The sequence below is a fragment of the Homo sapiens genome, chromosome 19 (genome assembly GCF_000001405.40).
Source record: "Homo sapiens chromosome 19, GRCh38.p14 Primary Assembly".
NCBI classification, from domain to species: Eukaryota; Metazoa; Chordata; class Mammalia; order Primates; family Hominidae; genus Homo; species Homo sapiens.
Genome location: NC_000019.10, coordinates 58,343,293 through 58,367,141, shown reverse-complemented (window position 1 = coordinate 58,367,141; position 23,849 = coordinate 58,343,293). Strand labels below are relative to the sequence as shown.

Below are 23,849 nucleotides of genomic sequence, written 5' to 3'. Positions count from 1 at the left end.
CGAGCGGGGTCGCCTTTATTGTCGCCCCCCGCTGGACTCCAGACTGAACCGCATCTCCCCAAGCCTCCGCGGTGTGAGTGGAAGTGGGTGCCTGAGGTGTCGGCACAACGTCCCCAGCACCGCAGAGGTGAGAGTCCACCGGGATCTACCACAGCATGCCTCTTCCCAGCTATGTGAGTGGCTGTCCATGGCTATGATTCCAGTTTCTCCCTGCATTTCATCCACACTGGTTCCAGACAGACCCAAGGCTCCCACTCCAGAGGCCGAATGGGGCAGGCTGACTAGGGACATATCTGTGTGGAGCACCTTGCCCTTTGGCTGTGGTTTCCTCCTCACACCAGCTGGGAGGGCCGGGAGGATGCTTGCACGTGGCTCAGCTAGAGCCCTGGAGAGGGCAGAGCCCTGGGCCCTCAGGGCCTAGACCTTGTTGCTTCCAATAGGGTTCCCCAAGTGTGGCCTGGGACCCCGAACAGAAGAATCCTAAGTGGCCCCTGCAGCCACACTGGGGACCGCATGTGATGGTCACTGACATTTACCACACTCTGTGGCCCTCATGCTACTGTGCAGATGGGCACCGTTTACGCCCCAGACCTTGGTGACCCTCCATGGAGTACCTCTTATTTGCCCTTGCCAAGGTCAGACCAGGGAAAGCGTCCCTGAAGGGTAGATGCTCAGAGCTTCCAGTGGGGCAGCCAAAGGGCAGGGCCTGAAACCAGCCTCAGAGGCCCCTGGGGAATCCACCCAGGAGAAACTCACCTCACAGTGTCCTCTGTCCTCTGCACCCCCCAAAAGGCTCAGGTCTTGGTTAATCCAGGACTCACCCACCAGGGGCTTAAATCCCTCTGTTGTGGGGAAAGCATCCTGATGAGGGAGGCCCTGCCCATGGTTCCTCCTACCTGGTAGTCTCCTTGATGCTCTCCCCAGCCTCCAGGAGAGGGAGAGCAGTGCTTGCCCTGCCCCTAGTCCCCCAGGACTCTTCTCACACAATTTCCCCAAGCAGCAGCCCTCCTGGTGTTCTGTCGCTTTTATGTTCTGCTCAGTCAGGTGTGGCCAGAAGAGGAGACACAGGACAAGCTCAGGAAAACAAAGTTCATCATGCTCACAGATCCTGGAAACAGGAGGCACGGCCCACAAGGAAGGACACATGAGAAAAGCACCAGCATCTGTCAGAGGCAGCAGGGGCAGGACCAAGGGGGAGCTCTAAGCCAGAGCCTTTACTGGGGTTTCCAAGGGAAAAGCAAGGCAGAGCAGAGCCTACAGCACAGGACTGGCTAGCTGGAGTAATTCCTGTGGGCTTTCAGCTGTGGGAGTGTTCCCCAGCTGCTTGGCTCCTGTTCCGGGGATGATTAAGACAGAGGAATACTGTCTCCTGCGGTGTGTGGACCAGGTAGAGGGGTGAGGCTCTGGATTGGTTAGTTTGCACATCAAGGGCATGCTCCAGGCCAAGCGTGGTGGCTCAGGCCTGTAATCCCAGTGCTTTGGGAGGCTGAGTTGGGCGGATGGCTTGAGCTCAGGAGTTCCAGAACAGCCTGGGCAACATGGCAAAACCCCGTTTCTACTAAAAATACAAAAATTAGCCGGGCATGGTGGCATGTGCCTGTAATCCCAGCTACTTGGGAGGCTGAGGCACAAGAATCCCTTGAACCTGGGAGGCAGAGGTTGCAATGAGCTGAGATCGCGCCGCTGCACTCCAGCCTAGGTGAGAGAGCAAGACTTTCTCAAAAATAAATAAATAAATAAATAAACATTTATCATCGCAAACATTTTCTGGGGGTGGGGAATTCGTGACCAGCTTGGCCTGTGGTTCTGGCTCAAGGCCTCTCACGAGGTTGAAGTCAACATGGCAGCCAAGACTGCAATCATCTGAAGGCCCCACTGGGCTTGGAGTATGCACTGCTCCACTGCCTCTCCACAGGACTGCAGACCTGAGTTTCCTCATGTCCGGGCAGCTGAATTCTTCCAGCATGGGTGATCCAAGACTACAGGCGCACACCACCACGCCTGGCTAATTTTTGTATTTTTGGTAGAGACAGGGTTTCACCATGTTGGCTAGGATGGTCTCGATCTCTTGACCTCGTGATCCCCCCGCCTCAGCCTCCCAAGTGTTGGGATTACAGGCGTGAGCCACTGCGCCCAGGCCTCCCCCCCTTTTTTTTTTCTTGAGACGGAGTCTCGCTCTGTTGCCCAGGTTGGAGTGCAGTGGCATGATCTCAGCTCACTGCAACCTCTGCCTCCCAGGTTCATGCGATTCTCCTGCCTCAGTCTCCCAAGTAGCTGGGATTACAGGTATGTACCACACACGGCTAATTTTTGTATTTTTAGTAAAGACGGGGTTTCACCATGTTGGTCAGGCTGGTCTCGAACTCCTGACCTCAGGTGATCCGCCCACCTCCACCTCCCAAATTGCTGGGATTACAGGCCTGAGCCACCCCACCCGGCCAATAAAAATTTTTTTAAAGCTAAAATTGACTCTCATGCAAATAAGATAAAATGAACATATGTTAAATATTTTAACTTAATGAGAGAAATAGTAAGATGTTACCAGTTACTTGATGATGGAGGAAAGGACGAAAAGCCAAGGAATACATGGAATGCAGCTCTAGGTGCTGAAAAAGGCAAGGAAAGGTTCTACGTTAGAGCTTCCAGAGGGAGCTCAGCCCTGTCAACATCTTGTTTCAGCTCAGTCATATCGATGTTAGACTTCTGGTCCCCAGAACTGGGCGGGAATATATTTCTGCTGTTTTAAGCCACCAAATTTGTGGTAATTTGCTGCATAACCACAGGAAACTAACACACCATCCCTCAGTTCTGCTTTTCTGTATGGACTCCATTCTCTTAACAGATTCATCCTTCAGCGGGGCAAGAAGGCTGCAGCTGCCCCAGCTGACAGATGCTCACAGCCTCAGGTTCAAAGCAGATAGAGGCCCTAACAGTTCAGAGAGAAGTCCCACGATGCTCACAGGTCCAAAGTGACCACTGCCAGGGCCAGAGGGATGGACTGCCCTGTGCTGTGGACCTGGGCCATGTACCCACACCTGCCCAAACCACCTGGGCTGAGGTGAGAGCTCCCTAGTACAAATTGGGAAAAATTGGTACAAAAAGAGCTCGTGGAGGCCGGGTGCAGTGGCTCGGGTCTGTAATCCTAGCACTTTGGGAGGCCAAGGTGGGAGGATCACTTGAGCCCAGAAGTTCAAGACCAGCCTGGGCCATATAGCGAGACCCCGTCTCTAGCTATTCATTTATTTTAGCTTACAGCATCTGGTCTATGTTGTTTTTTGAGACGGAGTCTTGCTCTGTCACCCAGGCTGGAGTGTGCAGTGGCACGACCTCAGCTCACTGTAACTTCTGCCTCCCCGGTTCAAGCGATTCTCCTGCCTCAGCCTCCCGAGTAGCTGGGATTATAGGCACACGCCAACAAGCCTAATTTTTGTATTTTCAGTAGAGACGGGGTTTCACCATGTTGGTCAGGCTGGTCTCGAACTCCTGACCTCGTGATCTGCCCGCCTCGGCCTCCCAAAGTTCTGGGATTACAGGCGTGAGCCACCGCGCCCGGTTTATTTATTTATTTTAGCCAACAGCACTCGGTGTTCCCAGACGGTCTCCCAAGTACTAACCAGGCCCGACCCTGCTTAGCTTCTGAGATCCCGACTCAATTTTTTTTTTTTTTTTTTGAGACGGAGTCTCGTTCTGTCGCCCCAGGCTGGAGTGCAGTGTCGCGATCTCGGCTCACTGCAAGCTCCGCCTCCCAGGTTCAAGCGATTCTCCTGCCTCAGCCTCCCGAGTAGCTGGGACTACAGGCGCCCGCCACCACGCCCGGCTAATTTTTTGTATTTTTAGTAGAGACGGGGTTTCTCCGTGTTAGCCAGGATGGTCTCGATCTCCTGACCTCGTGATCCGCCCGCCTCGACCTCCCAAAGTGCTGGGATTACAGGCGTGAGTCACCGCGCCCGGCCCCCGACTCTATTTTAAAAACCGCGTGGATTCCAGCTTGGTGGGTGTTCCACAGCGCGTGGGTGTGAGACGCAGCTCAGTGGCGTCAACTCAGCAAGGTTCCAGGGTGGTAAAGACGGCCTGGGGCCGGAGGAGGACCGCCAGGGAGAAGCTACGTTGGCCCGACTTGCGTCCGCGACCCGGGCAGCCCCAGGCGCCTGTGTAGCTGTTGGGTGTGTGCCGCAGAGGCTGGCCGGGTGCAGGAAGGGGCGGAGCGCATCCATGGCAACGCAGGACGCCCGAGTAGCTTGGCTGTGGCGCCGTCCCCATGGGAACCAGAAGGCGCGCGCCCGCAGCCGCGGCATAGTTACGCAGGCGCAGTGGGGAGAAACGCGACGCCTTGGGCCGCTCTGCCGAATGCAACCGCGCCCCCAGGAGACCCGGTGCCCGCCCTCCTACCATTCCACGCGGCTCGAGCCCGCGTGCGGGCCTCTTTCAGGCCGCTCCTAGTGGACGCAGAGGCGGGCCGAGGACGGTGAGTGACGCCGACGGACACCCTCGGCCAGGCACAGATCCGCCCTCCGGCTCCAACCACTCCCGCCGCGCGGGGCAGGACGGGCCTCGGCCCTGAGCTGGGCCCTCTGGGACCACCGAGAGATAGGCCTCCGCGCCGTCCAGAGCGGCCCGGAAGTGGCCCTGCACGGGCCAGAGGCGACCGTGGTCGGGACGGAAATGGCTCCCGTTTGCTGTTCTCTCGGTGAACGCGAGCCTTATGGCGATCAGTTCTGTGGCATCGTTCCTCCTGCTCGTTTATTCTTTCACTCATTCACTCATGCCCTGCCGCGCCATCATTTCTTCCCACATTCATTTATTCGTTCATCAGTCCCCAGCCCCGGGTAGTTTCGGAGCTCACCAGGCTGGGCTCGCCTCCCAGCCTCCGGAGCTGCCCGCACAGGCCTCGCGCCACCTGGCCGCAGCTTCCTCCCCTTTATCCACTCCGTATTTGTTTGTCCAGCCTAGGCCTTGGGGGTTGTGGGGGAGACACAAGTACCCGTGACTGGTCGGACAAGTGCCCGTTGTTGGGGGCGTGGGCGCTGGGACTGACGCGGGAGGTGGCTCTGATCATGTCGAGGTGAGGAGGAGGCGTTGAGGCTCAGAAAGGGCACGCAGCGTGGACGTGAGGACGTCGGGGAGGCTGGAGCAGTGAGGCCGACAGGAAGGACCTTACGGGGCTCACATGCTATCCCACGACGAGGACGGACTCAGGACGGCAGCCCTGATAGATGCGGCTGGGGGCTGGCGGGTCGGGGTCGCACACCACAGGATGGAGGGGCAGCGGTGCCTGGCTCCGCCTTAAGAAACATGGGCCCTTGGGGGACCCGGATTTCTGATACTTCAATACACAAATATGGATTTTTATTGAAATCAGATGTCGTTTTTTTAAAATTTAACTTTTGATTTGAGGTAATTATAAATTCACATGCAGTAACAAGTAATGCATACCCTATGTACGCTTTACCCAATTCCCCTAAAGGTGGCATCTTGAAAAACTAGAGGCCAGGTGCGGTGGCTCATGTCTGTAATCCCAGCACTTTGGGAGGCCAAGGCGGGTGGATCCCTTGAGCTCAGGAGTTAAAGACCAGCCTGAGCAACATGGTGAAACCCCATCTGTACTGAAAACACAAAAATTAGGCGGGTGTGGAGGCTGGTGCCTGTAATCCCAGCTACTCGGGAGTCTCAGGCAGGAGAATCGCTTGTACCCAGGAGGCGGAGGTCGCGGTGAGCCCACATCACGCCACTGCACTCCAACCTGGGCAACAGAGCGAGACTCTGTCTCAAAAAAAGAGAAGAGAAAGAAAAACTAGAGTACAATATCACAACTGAGATGCAGAATATTTCCATCACGAAGGATCCCCGTGTTGCCCTTACAGAGCCGCATACCCTTCCCTCCTACCTCTGCTCCCCGTTAACCTCTTTTTGTCAACTAGTAATCTGTTCTCATTTCTACCATTTTGTCATTTTACGAATGTTGCATAGGCTGGGCGAGGTGTCTCGCGCCTGTAATACTAGCACTTTGGGAGGCCGAGGCGGGTGGACCATCTGAGGTCAAGAGTTCAGGACCGGCCCACCGGCCGGGTGCCGTGGCTCACGCCTGTAATCCCAGCACTTTGGGAGGCTGAGGCGGGCGGATCACGAGGTCAGGAGATCGAGACCATCCTGGCTAACACGGTGAAACCCCGGCTCTACCAAAAATATAAAAAAATTAGCCGGGCATGGTGGCAGGCGCCTGTAGTCCCAGCTACTTGGGAGGCTGAGGCAGGAGAATGGTATGAACCCGGGAGGCAGAGCTTGCAGTGAGCCAGGATAGCGCCACTGGACTCCAGCCTGGGCGACAGAGCAAGACTCTTCTCAAAAAAAAAAAAAAAAAAAAAAAAAAAAAAAAAGAGTTCGGGACCAGCCTGGCCAACATGGTGAAACCCCATCTCTACTAAAAAATAAAATAAAATAAAATAAAATAAGCCAGGCCTGATGGCAGGCATCTGTAATCCCAGCTACTGGGGAGGCTGAGGCAGGAGAATCGCTTGAATCCTGGGGGCAGAGGTTGCAGTGAGCCGAGATTGCGCCACTTCATTCCAGCCTGGGTGAAAGAGCGAAACTCCGTCTCAAAAATAGAAAAATAAAAAATAAAAAAATTAGCTGGGTATGGTGGCACGCACTTGATGTCCCAGCTCCTTCGGAGGCTGAGGTGGGAAGATGGCTTGAGCCTGGGAGATGAGATTGCACCACTGCACCCTAGCCTGGATGACAGAGCCAGACCCTGTCAAAAGAAAAAAAAAAAGAAAAAGAAAAAGAAATGGAGTCATACAGTTTTTAAGCTTTTGGGATTGGGTGGTAACTTTTTTAAAAAACATAAATACCATACAATTCATCCTTTTAAAGTGTGTAATTCAGTGGTTTTTGGTATATTCAGTGTTGCACAGTCATCACCACTAATTCCAGAATATTTTCATCACTCCCACGGCTGTATCTCCCATTTCTCTCTTCCCTGCAGATCCTGGCAACCGCTGATCTACTTTCTGTCTCTTACAGACTTATCTGTTCTGGACATTTCACATAAATGGAATAACATAATATGAAGTCTTTTGTGTCTGAATTTTTTCATTTACACTTAGCATAATATTTTCAAGATTCATCCATCTTGTAGTATGTATCAGTATTTATTCTCTTTTTTTTTTTTTTGAGACAGAGTCTCACTTTGTCACCCAGGCTGGAGTGCAGTGGCGCGATCTCGGCTCACTGCAACCTCCACCTCCCGGGTTCAAGCAGTTCTCTGCCTCAGCCTCCCGAGTAGCTGGGATTACAGGCGCCTGCCACCACGCCTGGCTAATTTTTGTATTTTTAGTAGAGACGGGGTTTCACCATGTTGGCCAGGCTGGTCTTGGAATTGCTGACCTCGTGATCCACCCACCTCGGCCTCCCAAAGTGCTAGGACTACAGCCGTCAGCCACCGCACTTGGCCTAACTTAAATTTTTAAAACACTTCCTGGAGGGGACAAACAGGACCCATCTGCTGGTCTGACTCTGGGTGTCCTGTTCACAGTCTCTGTCTTAGTTGTTCTGTGTGTGGGATGAAGGGTGCCAAGGAGACAGGGCAGGGCAGGGACCCTCAAGAAAAGCGGGGAGGCGGGGGGAAGGGATGGTACAAGCAGCCATGGCACCTCAGTGTGTCCCTCAGGCACCTGGACACACAGGTGGGCAAAGATGCTGACACTGGGGGCCAGAAACGCCGATACCCCCATTCTTCCATTTTTACTCAGTCTCAGGTGGTCCCAAGGAGGGGACCTTCGTGGCCTTGCTGTGCTCACAGGCTCACCTTTGTGTTTCCAGCTGCAGAGAAAGTACCCTGGGCCATGCAGCTGCACTCCCCTCCCAGGAAAGGGGCAGGATGGCTGCCCAGATGAGTGAGGCATCAGCCCTGGCCCCCCAGGTCTTCCCGAGTCCACTGGAACTGATGGTGGGTGAGCCCAGCTCCAAGAGCCCTGGCCAGTGCTTCTGGGGGTTCTGCTATGAGAAGGCAGCAGGGCCCCGAGGGGCCCTGGCTCAGCTGCGTGAGCTGTGTTGCCAGTGGCTGATGCCTGAGGCCTGCTCCAAGGAGCAGATGCTGGAGCTCTTGGTGCTGGAGCAGTTATTGGGCACACTGCTCCCAGAGATCCAGGCCTACACGCAGGAGCAGTGGCTAGGCAGCCCTGAGGAGGCCACTGCCCTGGCAGAGCGGCTACAGCAGGAGTCAGCTGGGCCAGGACTCCAGATGAGTGGGGGCTGGTCTGGGGGCTGGGTGTGCTTCCCCTGCTCACGACCCCAGCTGAGCCAGCACTGGGGCCAGTCGTGGGTTGGTGGCTGAGAGGGCCTGGGGGCTGTGGGAAAGTGATGGTGACAGGTGGGAGTTTGGTGGTCTTGGCTTGGACGGCAGAGTCAGAGATCTCCAGTCCACACCTGTGTGCTCCGCATTGTGTCCTGAGAACTGAAGGTGCAGAGAAGGGTGGGTCATGCCACCGCATGCCCCTTGTTTTCTCAGATCTGCTAGGCTGAACACCTCACCCTGCCCTGCTGCCTTCCTGTCCCCAGGTGCCAGCCCCCAGGCCCCAAGAGGAGCTGGTCCCCAGGACAGAGGAGGGAGAGGAGCAAGAGGCTCCCCTGGGCCCCTTCCAGGCCCCACCTCCAGGTATGGCACCATCTACACACTTGTCCCTGCCCTGCCTTGGCAGCGGGGCTGGAGACTACACAAGGATGATAAGGTGCTCAGGGCAAATGAGGATGGGTTTTGCTCGCTGTAGAGACTTCGCTGTGGGAAGGATCGGCTGGACAGGCAGGCATGGCCTTAGGACCAAGGAGGCCCTCCCACCCTTGGCCTCTCTCTCTCTCAGGGATCTGGGCTGCACAGCCACCCCATGCCTTGGACCACCTGGTCTGACCTGCACAGAGGCCTGGTGTGGACATTGCCTGGGTAACAGCCACTGAGATCCTCCAGCCTGGACATGCTGCCCATACTGTGTGGAGGGGACTACCCAGGGATCCGGCCAGGGTGGAGTGGGTGAGGCAGACATAGCTGTGTTTGGGTCAGGCGGTGTCCTCCAGCCTTCAGGAATGGAGACGGGTCCATCGTGTTCCTCACAAACTGGAGTCTCCACCTTCTTGACACTTGGGGCCCCACCCTGTGAAGCAAGGAGAGGAGAGTGGTGCCACAGTAGGGCCAGTGCAGGTGCGTGGGCAACTTTGAGTCCTTCTGCGATGCTGGCGCCCCCTCCCCTCCTGCTGGGCCGGGCCGGGTGTGGGGATGTGCACGTGGCCCTGTCAGGCAGGCCCAGAGTGCTGGCCCATCCCCCGAGTGTCTAGCCCGCCTGCTGGCCTTCCTGCTCCAGGCTCCAGAGGGCATTGGGCATCCAGGGACCTGGAGGAGAAGAGTGGGGGATGACAGCCCACCCACCGTCGTGTCCCCCTCAGGCCCTCTGTCTGGTGTTCTTTGTATTCTCTAAGGTACTTGCCTTTTCTCTCCTGTTTTAGGTCACAGGCGCGAGATGGAGTCCCCAAGAGGGTGGACCCTGCAGGTGGCCCCAGAGGAAGGCCAGGTCCTCTGCAATGTGAAGACTGCCACGAGGGGCCTCTCTGAGGGGGCTGTGTCTGGAGGCTGGGGGGCCTGGGAAAACTCCACGGAGGTTCCGAGGGAGGCAGGGGACGGCCAGCGGCAGCAAGCCACACTGGGGGCGGCGGACGAACAGGGAGGCCCCGGCAGGGAGCTGGGCCCCGCAGACGGTGGGCGGGACGGGGCTGGGCCCAGGAGCGAGCCTGCAGACCGGGCGTTGCGCCCTTCGCCTCTCCCAGAGGAGCCGGGCTGCCGGTGCGGGGAGTGCGGCAAGGCGTTCAGCCAGGGCTCTTACTTGCTGCAGCATCGGCGCGTGCACACAGGCGAGAAGCCGTACACGTGCCCCGAGTGCGGCAAGGCCTTCGCCTGGAGCTCCAACCTCAGCCAGCACCAGCGCATCCACAGCGGCGAGAAGCCCTACGCTTGCAGGGAGTGCGGCAAGGCCTTCCGCGCGCACTCGCAGCTCATCCACCACCAGGAGACACACAGCGGCCTGAAGCCCTTCCGCTGCCCGGACTGCGGCAAGTCCTTCGGCCGAAGCACCACGCTGGTGCAGCACCGACGCACGCACACGGGCGAGAAGCCCTACGAGTGCCCGGAGTGCGGCAAGGCCTTCAGCTGGAACTCCAATTTCCTGGAGCACCGGCGCGTGCACACGGGCGCGCGGCCGCACGCCTGCCGGGACTGTGGCAAGGCCTTCAGCCAGAGCTCCAACCTGGCCGAGCACCTGAAGATCCACGCGGGCGCACGGCCACACGCCTGTCCCGACTGCGGCAAGGCCTTCGTGCGTGTGGCGGGGCTGCGGCAGCACCGGCGCACGCACAGCAGCGAGAAGCCCTTCCCCTGCGCCGAGTGCGGAAAGGCTTTCCGCGAGAGCTCGCAGCTCCTGCAGCACCAGCGCACGCACACTGGTGAGCGGCCCTTCGAGTGCGCCGAGTGCGGCCAGGCTTTCGTCATGGGCTCCTACCTGGCGGAGCACCGGCGCGTGCACACGGGCGAGAAGCCTCATGCGTGCGCCCAGTGCGGCAAGGCCTTCAGCCAGCGCTCCAACCTACTGAGCCACCGGCGCACGCACTCGGGCGCCAAGCCCTTCGCCTGCGCCGACTGCGGCAAGGCCTTCCGCGGCAGTTCCGGCCTGGCGCACCACCGGCTTTCGCACACGGGAGAGCGACCCTTCGCCTGCGCAGAATGCGGCAAGGCCTTCCGCGGCAGCTCCGAGCTGCGCCAGCACCAGCGCCTGCACTCTGGCGAGAGGCCGTTCGTCTGCGCCCACTGCAGCAAGGCCTTCGTGCGCAAGTCGGAGCTCTTAAGCCACCGGCGCACGCACACGGGCGAGAGGCCCTACGCTTGCGGCGAGTGCGGGAAGCCTTTCAGCCACCGTTGCAACCTCAACGAGCACCAGAAGCGGCACGGGGGCCGCGCTGCGCCCTGACCCGAGGACGCCCTGAGCGGGAGGTCGCGGACACACGGCATTGCGGGGTCTCGGGCGTGAGTGCGCTGTCTGCTGGCCCAGACTTTTTCGGGCCGCCGGTGCGGGCGCCCTCCTGCTGGGAGTGCAGGGGCGGCCTTGGGTGTGGAGAACCCTGGCTGCACAGTCCCTTTGACGATAGTCCACCGGCCACCCAGGCCTGTCTGGGGACATGTAGGATGGGCTCTTACCCCAGGGAGGGCGGCAGGCTCCACTTCGGCGAGAGGTTCGTCCATGCAGAGGTGGGCAAGAACTGGGGTCTCCGACAGGTGTGGCTATTTCTTTGAGTTCTCTGGCACTGTCAAAAGCAGCCAACCCACCCCCCAGTCCACATGGTCACCACTGCTGCTACCAGCTGCTCAGTGCAGTGGCCACTGTGTCTCCTAAGGTGCTCGCTTCAGTCAGCACTTCATCTCAGGCAACCACAGGTGACAGTTAAACATGATGAAACCGCATGCTATGGCTTTCTAGTGTCTCATATTCTGTTGGCAAGAAGCTCAGCACTGCATTCCTGACCGAGGTCAGAACCAGATCAATCTCAGAATCTCACCTGTGTAGGTCTGTTTCATGGGACTTTTCTTTTTTGGGGGAGGGGGCAGGGTTTCACTCTGTCACCCAGGCTGGAGTGCAGTGGTGCAATCACTGTTTATTGCAGCCGCGACTTCTTAGGCTCAGGTGATCCTCCCACCTCAGCCTCCCAAGCAGCTGGGATGACAGACTTGCGTCACTACACCTGGCTAATTTTAAAATTTTTTGTAAGGACAGTGTCTCACCATGTTGCCTAGGCGGGTCTCAAAACTCCTGGGCTCAAGTGATCCTCCTGCCTCAGCCTCCCAAAGCGTTGGGATTATAGGCGTGAGCCACCGCACCTGGCCAGGGAACCTTCTTTATACCAAGTACCACACCAGTCAGAGTCAAGTCAGGAAATAGAAACCACACTAGGTATTTCAAACAGAGGGGATATAAGTTAGGGACTGATTGTGCAGGTTTTGCAAGGCTCAGAGAGCAAAAGTGGATGTTGCAGAATCTCAGAGCTGGATACTTGCAGGAAGCTGCTACCACCCTTAGGGCTGGAGAACCCAGGGAAGCTAAGAGGAGGGTGCAACGAGGCTGGTGTTGGGACTGCCAAAGGAAACACAGAATGACAGCTCCATCTCTGCAGACCTCAGATTTGACCAGGCCTCTGGCTGCCTGGGCAGCCTCATTGCCAATGGGCTGAAAGGTTCTGTCACTGTTCAGTGGTCTGACTTCTGAGTTCTGTGCACACCCTGAGCTCTGCTCCTCTGGCCTGGCCACCAGTCCTTGTCTGAGTGCCCCAGGTCTGGTTATGACTTCAGGCCTCAGCACCTGGTTGTCTCTTCTGCAAAGAATGCATTCTCCCCCAGTCCACCCAGAACACACAGCCTCCATCCAGGTACTGGCTCTGAGCAGGACAGAGAGCATGCAGCAGGTGCTCAGCAATATGGAAATGGGACCAAACAGAGGGAGTCTCCACAGCTCCCCGTCCCTCACAGCAGAAGCCAGAGCCGCTGCAGTGCCCAGCTGGTCTTCATCACGTCTATGAGCTCTGCAATCGCTCTGCAGTCGCCTCAACTCCTGGTCTCCTCTGCTCCTTCTCACTGCACCCGCATCTCCCATGTTTGCACTGGCTGTTCCCTCTGCCTGGAATGCTCCTTGCCCAGTTATCCCACTGTCTTCTTTGCATCTGGCACACAGTAGATGCTCAATAAATGCCTGTGGAATGAATGAGTGGGGAGGATGCAGTGCAGGGGGCAGATGAGGGCTAGGCGGTTGCCCTGGGCCCTCACACTCGTAGCGGAGCTAGGCTGGGACACCCAGGGTGGGGACCAGACCTCCCCGGGTGGGAATGACAGGATGTCCATGGAGGCTGAGTGTGAAAGCACCACGGTCTCACCCCTGTCCTGTTCCATCCCAACAGGCTGTGGTGAGGAGAGGGGGAGGCAGGGGAAGCGGGAGGCCTGGCCTCCAGGCAGCAGGCTATAGCCACATGAGTGACCACCAGCAGCTCAGGTAACTGAGCACATGTCACGGGTAGGCCTGGGAAGCGCAGGTCTCAGCTGAATGACCTGGGTGGAAATCCGACTCCAGAGCCGTGGTGGGTCACACCATGCAGAATGAACCAGTGATGGAGAAGGAACCACAGTCCTCAGGAAGAGTGAGGGTGCACCTCCAGACAGCCCATGTGAGGGCAACCGCAGAAAGTCTGAAAAGAGGTGAACCCCACCTTTGGTGTCACATGTGCAGTGTGGTGTGACAGGGAGGGGCTCGCTGGGCTTCAGCCCCGGCACTCTCCACTTGACCTCAGCAGCTCCAGGTAGAGTGGGGAGAACTCAGCGTCTCCTTCTAGAACAGGTTCTAGGATCCATCACTGAAATGAGGATGAGGTGGTTTTAACATCATTTTATCACTCTTGATTTAGTTTATTAATCATACATGATTATTGATTATAATTGTTGCTGGGCATCCTGAGGCCTCAGAAGTTCACCCTTTGCCCTGACCCCATGGGGGCCCTGCCCCCGCCTTCCGGGAAGGACAAACACGGGAAGAGGTCAGTGCCCGAGCCACCCCACCGCCCTCCCTTGGGGCCTCATTGCTGCAGACGCTCACCCCAGACACTCACTGCACCGGAGTGAGCGCGACCATCATGTCCATGCTCGTGGTCTTTCTCTTGCTGTGGGGTGAGGCCTCCTGGGGTCTGGGTCCCTGGGGCGGGAGGGGGCGGGAACAGGAGCCTTACGGGGGCTGTCTCCGCAGGTGTCACCTGGGGCCCAGTGACAGAAGCAGCCATATGTGAGTGCAGGGGTGAGGTCTGGGAATGGTGGGCCCAGGCCGGGGGGGAGCCCTGTCTCTGTGGCACTGAGCTGATCCCAGCCACCCCTTGCAGTTTATGAGACGCAGCCCAGCCTGTGGGCAGAGTCCGAATCACTGCTGAAACCCTTGGCCAATGTGACGCTGACGTGCCAGGCCCACCTGGAGACTCCAGACTTCCAGCTGTTCAAGAATGGGGTGGCCCAGGAGCCTGTGCACCTTGACTCACCTGCCATCAAGCACCAGTTCCTGCTGACGGGTGACACCCAGGGCCGCTACCGCTGCCGCTCGGGCTTGTCCACAGGATGGACCCAGCTGAGCAAGCTCCTGGAGCTGACAGGGCCAAGTGAGCCGGGGCATGAATTGGGGGCCAGGAGGCAGTGGGTAGGTTGTTGACTGGGGGGTCTCCCTTCCTCCAAGTCACCCGATGTCTCTGAGCCCCAAGCCCCAATCTTCCCATCTGTCAAATGGGGATGATGTCTGTGTTGTAAGGAATACATGGTTGTGTCCCCAGCAGGCCCGGCATGCCGTACAGCTCCCACACACTCTTTTTCTCTTGCCGTATGCCTTGTTTCCACTGGTGCCTGCCTGCCTTTTCCCAGCAATGCCCTCCATCCCTGTCTCCTTCACAGTCTTATGAGTGTGGGGCCCAGGTTCTGCTGGGCTTCCCACGTCTCCTGTTATGCAGAAGCACTCTTCAACTCCACCCCACCCACAGAGTCCTTGCCTGCTCCCTGGCTCTCGATGGCGCCAGTGTCCTGGATCACCCCCGGCCTGAAAACAACAGCAGTGTGCCGAGGTGTGCTGCGGGGTGTGACTTTTCTGCTGAGGCGGGAGGGCGACCATGAGTTTCTGGAGGTGCCTGAGGCCCAGGAGGATGTGGAGGCCACCTTTCCAGTCCATCAGCCTGGCAACTACAGCTGCAGCTACCGGACCGATGGGGAAGGCGCCCTCTCTGAGCCCAGCGCTACTGTGACCATTGAGGAGCTCGGTGACTGTGGGAACCATCTCTGGGGGCTGCTGGGGGAGGAGGATACAGGGGGCATGACCACATTCATCCTGACCTCCATGCTGAATGTCCTTGCCCAGGACCAGGTCCAGGAAGCTGGCCACACGGTTGCCTGGGTCTGATGGTTGCAAAGGAGTTTGGGCAGAGGATGCCCAAAGAATGGAAGGGTGAGGCCGGGTGCGGTGGCTCACGCCTATAATCCCAGCACTTTGGGAGGCTGAGGCCAGCGGATCATGAGGTCAAGAGATCGAGACCAGTCTACCCAACATGACGAAACCCCGTCTCTACTAAAAATACAAAAATTAGCCAGGTGTGGTGGCAGGTGCCTGTAGTACCAGCTACTCAGGAGGCTGAGGCAGGAGAATCCCTTGAACCTGGGAGGCAGAGCTTGCAGTGAGCTGAGTGGCGCCACTGCACTCCAGCCTGGGCAACAAGAGCGAAACTCCGTTTCAAAAAAAAAAAAAAAAAAGAATGGAAGGGTGTTCCTGGGATTGCCACCCGGAGGGCAGAGGTCTGGGGACTGGGCAGAGGGCAGCTCCAGGGATGGGGCAGCCTAGTAATGCTGCCTGCATTGCAGCTGCACCACCACCGCCTGTGCTGATGCACCATGGAGAGTCCTCCCAGGTCCTGCACCCTGGCAACAAGGTGACCCTCACCTGCGTGGCTCCCCTGAGTGGAGTGGACTTCCAGCTACGGCGCGGGGAGAAAGAGCTGCTGGTACCCAGGAGCAGCACCAGCCCAGATCGCATCTTCTTTCACCTGAACGCGGTGGCCCTGGGGGATGGAGGTCACTACACCTGCCGCTACCGGCTGCATGACAACCAAAACGGCTGGTCCGGGGACAGCGCGCCGGTCGAGCTGATTCTGAGCGATGGTGAGCCGGGGCCAGCAGGGACAGGGACGCGGCTGGGTCCCTGGGGAGCAGGAGCAGTACCAGGTGTAGAGTCTGGGGAAGTGCAGTGCTCTGGGCCAGGGTCCAATACCAACTTTATCCGCCCACCCGCCGATTCAGGGTCCTAAACTGCAAATATGATGATGAGCGTGACAACCTTCAGGCCCCACAGGGAATAACTGGGTGAACAGGTCTGGCCCAGGCCACAGGGGGCACCACCTGGCAGGTCCCATCCCAGCTGCCAGGTCTAGGTGAGCACTGAGGGCCTCTGCTGAGGCAGCTCCTCCGCTCGCTTGCCTTGGACCTGATGGTATTTAGCAAACTCTGAGCACCGGACAGCGAACCCCATGCCCAGCGGACCACAGGGGCCCCTCCGTGGGGCGGGCATTGGGGCGGTGCTCAGAAGACGCTCGTGGAGCAAATCCACTACTGAGCGGCATCGTGCACCAGGCATCAAGCCATGCACAAAACATGTCCCCGTCCCCGCTTCCCGTCTGTGTCTGTAGACAAACAAATTACTAAGAAACAGTGAAAGGGTGCGTGTGAGATATCCAAGGACTGGGATGCAAAGGTGGGGCGGGCCCGGAGGAGGCGAGGGAGGAAGCTGGCCAGGTCATTGCGGGCAGAAGACTCAGCCAAGGCAAAGAGCGCGAGGCCAGACCACGCGTTAGGGCCGAGCCAGCCGCTGGGCGCCCGGGTCAGCCCGTGTGCTGCTCCGCAGAGACGCTGCCCGCGCCGGAGTTCTCCCCGGAGCCGGAGTCCGGCAGGGCCTTGCGGCTGCGGTGCCTGGCGCCCCTGGAGGGCGCGCGCTTCGCCCTGGTGCGCGAGGACAGGGGCGGGCGCCGCGTGCACCGTTTCCAGAGCCCCGCTGGGACCGAGGCGCTCTTCGAGCTGCACAACATTTCCGTGGCTGACTCCGCCAACTACAGCTGCGTCTACGTGGACCTGAAGCCGCCTTTCGGGGGCTCCGCGCCCAGCGAGCGCTTGGAGCTGCACGTGGACGGTGAGCTGGCGGGGCACCAGCGAGGGCGGGCGCGGGTTCAGTGCCCCTCGGGGCCTCCTGTCTTTCCCCTCTTTCCTTGGGCGTCCGACGGCGGCGCTCTGGGCCTTGGTTCAGCCCCCATCGCCTACCCCGGCGGGGAGCAGGCGATCGGTGGTCGAGGGTCTGGGGACGCCTGGAATTTCGGCTTATTTCCCACGGACGCAAGCCCGTAGGTCACGTGTAGCGTGGTGGTCGGCAGCAGGGAGGCTGGCCCCAGGTTTTCTTGTTCAGATCCCTGCAGCTCTGTGGCTGCCTTGTTTTATTACTGGCCATGTCAGTCGTCATACTGGACCCCCCGCCCCGGCCCCGGTCCCGCAGGCGCACGGCTGATGTGTCCTTCTCCCCATCCCCGCCGTCCCCAGCTCTGTTTGTCCCTCTGATTTCCTCATCGACGTCTCCAGGACTCAGAGCCCAGCAGAGCGTGAGGGCACAGGTCTGACCTCCAGATCTTGAGGTCGTACCCTTTGCTGGGAGCACCGTTTTCTCTTTTCTTTCACTTTCTTTCTTTTCTTTCCTGCCTTCCTTCCTCTTTCTTTCTTTCTCTTTCCTTCTTTCTTTCTTCCTTCCTTCTTTCTCTCTTTTCTTTCTTCTTTTTTCTTCTTTCTCTCTCTCTCATCTCTGCCCCCCAACCCCATCTCTCTCCTTCATTCCTCCCTTTTCTTCTCCTTTTTGTTTTTTTTTTGGATAACTTACTTTTATTCTTGCAGGCCGGAGTGCAGTGGTGCAGTCTCAGCTCACTGCAACTTTCGCCTTCTGGGTTCAGGCAGTTCTCCTGCCTCAGCCTCCTGAGTAGCTGGTATTAGAGGCGCATGCCACCATGCCCACCTAATTTTCGTATTTTTAGTAGAGACCGGGTTTTGCTATGTTGGCTGGGCTGGTCTTGACCTCCTGACCTTGTGATCTGCCCGCCTCTGCCTCCCAAAGTGCTGGGATTACACTTGTGAGTCACCATGCCCAGCCTATTCTTGCAGTGTTATAAGCCACCATCCACAATTGATGAAAAATGTTTAATCTTGGCCAGGCAAGGTGGCTCACGCCTGTAATCACAGCACTTTGGGAGGCCAAGGCGGGTGGATCACAAAATCAGGAGTTCAAGAGCAGCCTGGCCAACATGGAGAAACCCTGTCTCTACTAAAAATACAAAATTAGCCAGCTGTGGTGGCACATGCCTGTAATCCCAGCCACTTGGGAGGCTGAGGCAGGAGAATTGCTTTAACCCGGGAGGTGGAGTTTGCAGTGAGTCCAGGTCATGCCACTGCATTCCAGCCTGGGCAACAAGAGCAAAACTCCATCTCAAAAAAAAAAAAAATGTTTAATCTTTAAATTGTACATCTATATCCTATGACTCCAAATTTTATTTATCACTCTCCTTAAAGTCTGAAGAAAATGATTAATTTACTAAGCTCCAAAGACAACACAGTCCCACTGACATAACATTTAGTATGATGTCCTACTCTCCTGTTAGAATTAAGAACAGCCAGTATCAAACTGGCCTGAAATCTGATTGGGTTCCTGGGCTCAGAATAACTGTAGTAAATTTGTAAATCCACACTAAGACACAAAATTAAACTAGGATGTGTATATCTATCTTACAAGAAAACGTTTCACAGTAAAAATTAACATTATGATTTTACCAAATTTCAACATTATAGTTTGTTAATCCAATCAAGCTTTCAAAATTCCTGATTAGCTTACAATTAATTGCAAATAACTTCATGTAGTTTGGCTAGCATTTCAAAATGGATAGGGAATATAACTTTTAAAATGCGAAAGTATATTATACATATTGCACTTTTCTGCTAGGCTGGGCTAGTATCTTCCATGGCAAGATACTCAAACTATTGAATAAAATACACATTTAAATCAAGCACTTACATGTACTTCATTAATTTCCCTGAAATTATCAACAGCATTACCAAAATCTTCCAGGATTTTGTAACATTTGATTCCTTACAGTTTTGTTTTGTTTGTTTGTTTTTGAGACGGAGTGTCACTCTGTCACCCGGGCTGGAGTGCAGTGGCGCAATCTTGGCTCACTGAAACCTCTGCCTCCCAGGTTCAAGCAATTTTCCTGCCTCCACCTCCCGAGTAGCTGGGATTACAGGCGCACGCTGCCACGCCCGGCTAATTTTTTGTATTTTAGTAGAGACGGGGTTTCACCGTGTTACCCAGGCTGGTCTGGAACTCCTGAGCTCAGGCAATCCGCCTGCCTCGGCCTCTCAAAGTGCTGAGATTACAGGTGTGAGCCACTGCGCCCGGCACCTTAAATACACTTTTAAAGTTAAACTTATGGAGGGAAAACCCTCATCTATTGACATAGATTGTATGTCCTTTTTTGGTCCCTCCATGAAGGAGCACCGTTTTCTCCATCATTTCTTCTTCCCTTCACCCGTCAGAGTGACCGAGGCTGGGGACCCCAGAAGCCCCAGAGCAGGCCCGAATCTGGGACTTCCACGGTCCTGGGGGAGGGGTGCGGGGACACTCACGTGTGGCGCGGATGTCCGGGGTGTGAAGGCAGCGGGCGCAGCTCGGCGGCGCCGGAGGAGCCCTCTGCGCCCAGGAACAAGACAGGGAAGATGAAGCCGGGGCTGAGGCGCAGGCGCGGGCGCGGCCTGGGGTGTGGCCTGGGGTGTGGCCTGGGGCGTGGCCTGGGGCGTGGCCTGGCCCGACCACCCGCCCGCTCCGCCCAGGACCCCCTCCCAGGCCTCAGCTCCGGGCGACGTGGAGTGGGGCGGTCCTGGCGGGCCGAGATGCCGTCCTGCGCTGCGAGGGACCCATCCCCGACGTCACCTTCGAGCTGCTGCGCGAGGGCGAGACGAAGGCCGTGAAGACGGTCCGCACCCCCGGGGCCGCGGCGAACCTCGAGCTGATCTTCGTGGGGCCCCAGCACGCCGGCAACTACAGGTGCCGCTACCGCTCCTGGGTGCCCCACACCTTCGAATCGGAGCTCAGCGACCCTGTGGAGCTCCTGGTGGCAGGTGACGTTTCCCTGGGTCCCGGGTGCTGGTTCCGTCTGCTGATGTTTGCCTGGGCTGTGCCCACCTCCAGGAGGGCCTCTCCCGGCTCCTCCCTTGGGCACCCCTGGTTAGCGCTGGGTCTCCCCAGGGCTCGTGGGGGAATTGCGGGCGAGGAACCGCCCAGCAAAGGCCCTGCAGCTGGAGGCGCAGATGGGGGTCTCGGCTGGCAGCCGACCACGCGCTTCCTTCCGGGGGGGCGTCAGGGAGGTCGGCCTTGATTTCCGCGAGGAGGAGGGCATAGGATTTCCCCTCCTCCACCATTTCTCTTTTCTCCCGTTGTCTAGAAAGCTGATGCAGCCGCGGGCCCAGGGTGCTGTTGGTGTCCTCAGAAGTGCCGGGGATTCTGGACTGGCTCCCTCCCCTCCTGTTGCAGCACAAGGCCGGGGTCTCTGGGGGGCTGGAGAAGCCTCCCTCATTCCTCCCAGGAATTAATAAATGTGAAGAGAGGCTCTGTTTAAAATGTCTTTGGACTCCCAGGGCTGAGTGGGCTGGGATCTCGTGTCCTCAAAGTGGATGGGTTCTGGGGTGGCTCCTGAGGTAGAGGAGTGGAGAACTGGCTCTTAAGAGCACAGTTTTCTTTTCTTTTTTCTTTTTTGAGACAGGGTCTCACACTGTCACCCAGGCTGGAGTGCAGTGTTGCAGTCCGGCTCACTGCAGTTTTGACCTCCCAGGCTCAAGCGATCCTCCTGCCTCAGCCTCCCAAGTAGCTGGGAGCCTGGGCATGCATCGCCACGTCTGGCTAATTATTATTTTTTGTAGACAGGGTCTCACTGTGTTGCCCAAGCTTGTCTTGAACTCCTGGCCTTAAGTGATCCTCCCACCTCAGCCTCCTGAGTAGCTGGGACTACAGGCATGAGCCACCATGCCTGGCCAACTCACATTTTTCTTTCTATTATTTATTTTTTGTAGAGATGAGTCTCACTATGTTGCCCAGGCTGGTCTTGAACTCTTGGGCTCAAGTGATCCTCCCGCCTCAGCCTCCCAAAGTGTTGGGATTACAGGTGTGAGCCACAGCACCTGGCCAACCAACACTTCTCAGGGCCTCTTTCATCTGTGCTCTTCCAGGATGCTGCCTCTTACTCCCTGGGCACCTCGGCCTGGTCCCAGCAGGTATGGGCAGTTGCTTGAGGCTCCAGACATACTCACCTCTACCTCGACCACATCAACCCCATCACCAAGAGGAGGTTCAGGGAAGCTGCATTTTGTGGTCTTGTCCTCCCAGTCCAGGGTGGTAGTGCTGGGCTGTTCCCAGCCTCCCACAGCAGAGCTGGACGCTGTGGAAATGGCTGGATTCCTCTGTGTTCTTTCCCATTATCCCTCAGCTCTGAGTCCTCTTGTGCCATCTGACATCTGATGCCTTCCCAACCACTGCCGAGTTTCTGCCTGGAGCAGGGCCTCAAGGCCCTGGCACACAGAAGATGCGTATCAGTATTATCAACCAATAGTTGATGAATTGTGTTTTTCAACGAATTTGCTAGTGATCTGGTTTACTGCCTTAGTAATATCTAGTTCCTAATATGCCTATGCCTTTTAATGTCTGCACAGTCTATGATGATGTCACTTCTCTCAAGCCTGATGTGTCCTCTCTCTCTTTCTTGCTAGTGGTTTATCAATTTTTAAAACCTTTTCTTGTTTATTTGTTTTTGAGACAGAATTTTGCTCTTGTTGCCCAGGCTGGAGTGCAATGGCGTGATCTTGGCTCACAGCAACCTCTACCTCCTGGGTTCAAGTGATTCTCGTGCCTCAGCCTCCTGAGTAGCTGGGCTGACAGGCACCCACCACCACACCCAGCTAATTTTTATGTTTTTAGTAGAGATGGGGTTTCACCTTGTTGGGTGGCCAGGCTGGTCTCCAACTCCTGAGCTCAAGTGATCCACCCGCCTCAGCCTCCCAAAGTGCTGGGATTACAGGGGTGAGCCACCACGCCCAGCCCCAGCTTAGTTTTTTAAAAAGTTTATTTTAGCCATTCTAATAGGTATGTAGACATATCTAATAGTGGTTTTCCTTGCGTTTCCTTAATGTCTGATGATGTTAAGCATTTTTTCCCCAAGTGCTTAGTTGCCATCTATATAGCATCTTTGATGAAATGTCTGTTTATATATTTTGCACACTTTAAAATATTGGGTTGTTTTCTTTTTTCTTCTCTTTTCTTTTTTCTTCTCTTTTCTTTCTTTTTGAGAGAGTCATGCTCTGTTGCCCAGGCTGGGGTGCAGTGGCATGATTTCAGCTCACTGCAACTTCCGCCGCCCAGGTTCAAGCGATTCAACTCCCTCAGCCTCCTGTGTAGCTGGGATTACAGGCATGTGCCACCACACTGGCTGATTTTTGTATATTTAGTGGAGAGGGGGTTTCACCATGTTGGCCACACTGGTCTTCAACTCCTGACCTCAAGTGATCCACCTGCCTCAGCCTTCCAAAGTGTTGGGACTACAGGCATGAGCCACCGTGCCTGGCCTGTTTGTTTTCTTACTATTGAGTTTTGTTTGTTTGCTTTTGCTTTTTTTTTTTTTTTCCCGAATCTCACTCTGTTGCCCAGGCTGGAGTGCAGTGGTGTGATCTCGGCTCACTGCAACCTCCGCCTGCCAGGTTCAAGCAATTCTCCTGCCTCAGCCTCCGGAGTAGCTGGTACTACAGGCACCCACCAGCATGCCCGGCTAGTTTTTTGTATTTTTAGTAGAGATGGGGTTTCACCATGCTGTCCAGGCTGGTCTCAAACTCCTGACCTTGTGATCCCAACCGCCTCAGCCTCCCAAAGTACTGGCGTGAGCCACCGCACCCGGTCATTTTTTGTATCTTTAGTAGAGACAGTATTTCGCCATGTTGGTCTCAAACTCCTGAGCTCAAGTGGTCTGTCCACCTCAGCCTCCCAAAGTGCTAGGATTACACTGCACCTGGCCTCCAGCCACATTTTTTTTCTTTTTTTTTTTTTTTTTTTGAGACAGAGTCTTGCTCTGTCGCCCAGGCTGGAGTGCAGTGGCGTGATCTCGGCTCACTGCAAGCTCTGCCTCCCAGGTTCATGCCATTCTCCTGCCTCAGTCTCCCAAGTAGCTGGGATTACAGGAGCCCACCACCACGCCCAGCTAATTTTTTTGTATTTTTAGTAGAGATGGGGTTTCAACATGTTAGCCAGGATGGTCTCCATCTCCTGCCCTTGGGATCCGCCCACCTCAGCCTCCCAAAGTGCTGGGATTACAGACGTGAGCCACCGCGCCCAGCCGCCTCCAGCCATATTTTAAAGATAAAATAATTGTGCAATCTCTATTACTATCATTTAATTCCCAAAGTTCCCGCTTTCCCTCTGGTATCATTTCCCTTCTACCAAGAGTTTCCTTTGGCATTTCTTTTCAGGCAAGTCTGCTGGCAAGAAATATATATCTTAGGTTTGTTTCATTTGAGGATGTCTGTATTTTGCCTTCGTTCTTTAAGTGTGTTTGCACTGGATATAGAATTCTGGGTTGACGGGAGGCGGAGCTTGCAGTGAGCTGAGATCACACCACTGCACTCCAGCCTGGGCAACAGAGCGAGACTCCATCTCAAAAAAAAAAAAAAAAAGAATTCTGGGTTGAGTCTTTTTTTTGTTTGTTTTTGAAATGGAGTTTTGCTCTTATTGCCCAGACTGGAGTGCAATGGTGCAATCTCGGCTCACTGCAACCTCTGCCTCCTAGGTTCAAGTAATTCTCCTGCCTCAGCCTCCTGAGTAGCTGGGATTACAGGCACCCGCCACCACGCCCGGCTAATTTTTTGTAGACACGGGGTTTCACCATGTTGGCCAGGCTGGTCGCAAACTCGTGAACTCAGGTGATCCACCCACCTCGGCGTCCCAAAGTGCTGGGATTACAGGTGTGAGCCACTGTGCCCAGCCTTTTTTTTTTTTTTTTTGAGACAGAGTCTCACTCTGTTGTCGAGGCTGGAGTGAAGTCACCCAATCTCGGCTCACTGCAACCTCTGCCTCCCAGGTTCAAGCAATTCTCCTGCCTCAGCCTCCTGATTAGCTGGATCTACAGGCGTGTGCCGCCATGCC

The 23,849-nt window shown here is 56.2% G+C and overlaps 2 protein-coding genes, 2 long non-coding RNA genes and 2 pseudogenes across 5 annotated transcripts, besides 8 other annotated features; 3 read left to right on the top strand and 3 right to left on the bottom strand.

Annotated features, from left to right (window-relative positions):
- Positions 1-563: 563 nt before the first annotated feature.
- On the bottom strand, positions 564-4,516 carry ZNF497-AS1 (ZNF497 antisense RNA 1). Its single transcript, NR_136527.1, has 3 exons — positions 4,390-4,516; positions 2,543-2,606; positions 564-1,108 (listed from the first exon to the last, which is right to left on the bottom strand). It is a non-coding gene; the product is annotated as a ZNF497 antisense RNA 1 (long non-coding RNA).
- RNA5SP473 (RNA, 5S ribosomal pseudogene 473) lies at positions 3,570-3,644 on the bottom strand (annotated as a pseudogene).
- ZNF497 (zinc finger protein 497) lies at positions 4,391-12,785 on the top strand. 2 transcript variants are annotated; one of them, NM_198458.3, is made up of 3 exons: positions 4,391-4,465; positions 8,557-8,653; positions 9,493-12,785. In NM_198458.3, the coding sequence occupies exon 3, from the start codon at positions 9,507-9,509 to the stop codon at positions 11,001-11,003; it is 1,497 nt and encodes a 498-aa protein (NP_940860.2). In that variant the 5' UTR covers positions 4,391-4,465; positions 8,557-8,653; positions 9,493-9,506; the 3' UTR covers positions 11,004-12,785. The 2 variants fall into 2 exon arrangements, with proteins under 2 accessions (NP_940860.2, NP_001193938.1); NM_001207009.2 differs by lacking the exon at positions 8,557-8,653.
- Positions 4,556-5,104: an enhancer, noted in NCBI's record as "H3K27ac-H3K4me1 hESC enhancer chr19:58873404-58873952 (GRCh37/hg19 assembly coordinates)". NCBI's record gives its function as "activates a minimal SCP1, AML or CMV promoter by ChIP-STARR-seq in naive H9 embryonic stem cells {active_cell/tissue: H9 hESC(naive)}" and the evidence as "EXISTENCE:reporter gene assay evidence [ECO:0000049][PMID:30033119]".
- Positions 4,697-4,826: an enhancer, noted in NCBI's record as "active region_15187". NCBI's record gives its function as "activates an Ori minimal core promoter by ATAC-STARR-seq in GM12878 lymphoblastoid cells {active_cell/tissue: GM12878}" and the evidence as "EXISTENCE:reporter gene assay evidence [ECO:0000049][PMID:35858748]".
- LOC100419840 (zinc finger protein 446 pseudogene) lies at positions 7,903-9,093 on the top strand (annotated as a pseudogene).
- Positions 11,959-15,172, bottom strand: A1BG-AS1 (A1BG antisense RNA 1). Its single transcript, NR_015380.2, has 4 exons — positions 14,098-15,172; positions 13,668-13,763; positions 13,285-13,428; positions 11,959-12,773 (listed from the first exon to the last, which is right to left on the bottom strand). It is a non-coding gene; the product is annotated as an A1BG antisense RNA 1 (long non-coding RNA).
- On the top strand, positions 13,650-21,959 carry A1BG (alpha-1-B glycoprotein). Its single transcript, NM_130786.4, has 8 exons — positions 13,650-13,738; positions 13,815-13,850; positions 13,945-14,214; positions 14,587-14,859; positions 15,455-15,751; positions 16,491-16,772; positions 19,502-19,789; positions 20,113-21,959. The coding sequence occupies exons 1-8, from the start codon at positions 13,705-13,707 to the stop codon at positions 20,118-20,120; spliced, it is 1,488 nt and encodes a 495-aa protein (NP_570602.2). The 5' UTR covers positions 13,650-13,704; the 3' UTR covers positions 20,121-21,959.
- Positions 19,051-19,130: an enhancer, noted in NCBI's record as "active region_15186". NCBI's record gives its function as "activates an Ori minimal core promoter by ATAC-STARR-seq in GM12878 lymphoblastoid cells {active_cell/tissue: GM12878}" and the evidence as "EXISTENCE:reporter gene assay evidence [ECO:0000049][PMID:35858748]".
- Positions 19,321-19,650: a silencer, noted in NCBI's record as "silent region_11080". NCBI's record gives its function as "represses an Ori minimal core promoter by ATAC-STARR-seq in GM12878 lymphoblastoid cells {active_cell/tissue: GM12878}" and the evidence as "EXISTENCE:reporter gene assay evidence [ECO:0000049][PMID:35858748]".
- Positions 19,321-19,847: a biological region, named in NCBI's record as "H3K4me1 hESC enhancer GRCh37_chr19:58858661-58859161".
- Positions 19,347-19,847: an enhancer, noted in NCBI's record as "H3K4me1 hESC enhancer chr19:58858661-58859161 (GRCh37/hg19 assembly coordinates)". NCBI's record gives its function as "activates a minimal SCP1, AML or CMV promoter by ChIP-STARR-seq in naive H9 embryonic stem cells {active_cell/tissue: H9 hESC(naive)}" and the evidence as "EXISTENCE:reporter gene assay evidence [ECO:0000049][PMID:30033119]".
- Positions 19,848-20,348: an enhancer, noted in NCBI's record as "H3K4me1 hESC enhancer chr19:58858160-58858660 (GRCh37/hg19 assembly coordinates)". NCBI's record gives its function as "activates a minimal SCP1, AML or CMV promoter by ChIP-STARR-seq in naive H9 embryonic stem cells {active_cell/tissue: H9 hESC(naive)}" and the evidence as "EXISTENCE:reporter gene assay evidence [ECO:0000049][PMID:30033119]".
- Positions 19,901-20,180: an enhancer, noted in NCBI's record as "active region_15185". NCBI's record gives its function as "activates an Ori minimal core promoter by ATAC-STARR-seq in GM12878 lymphoblastoid cells {active_cell/tissue: GM12878}" and the evidence as "EXISTENCE:reporter gene assay evidence [ECO:0000049][PMID:35858748]".
- Positions 21,960-23,849: the final 1,890 nt, after the last annotated feature.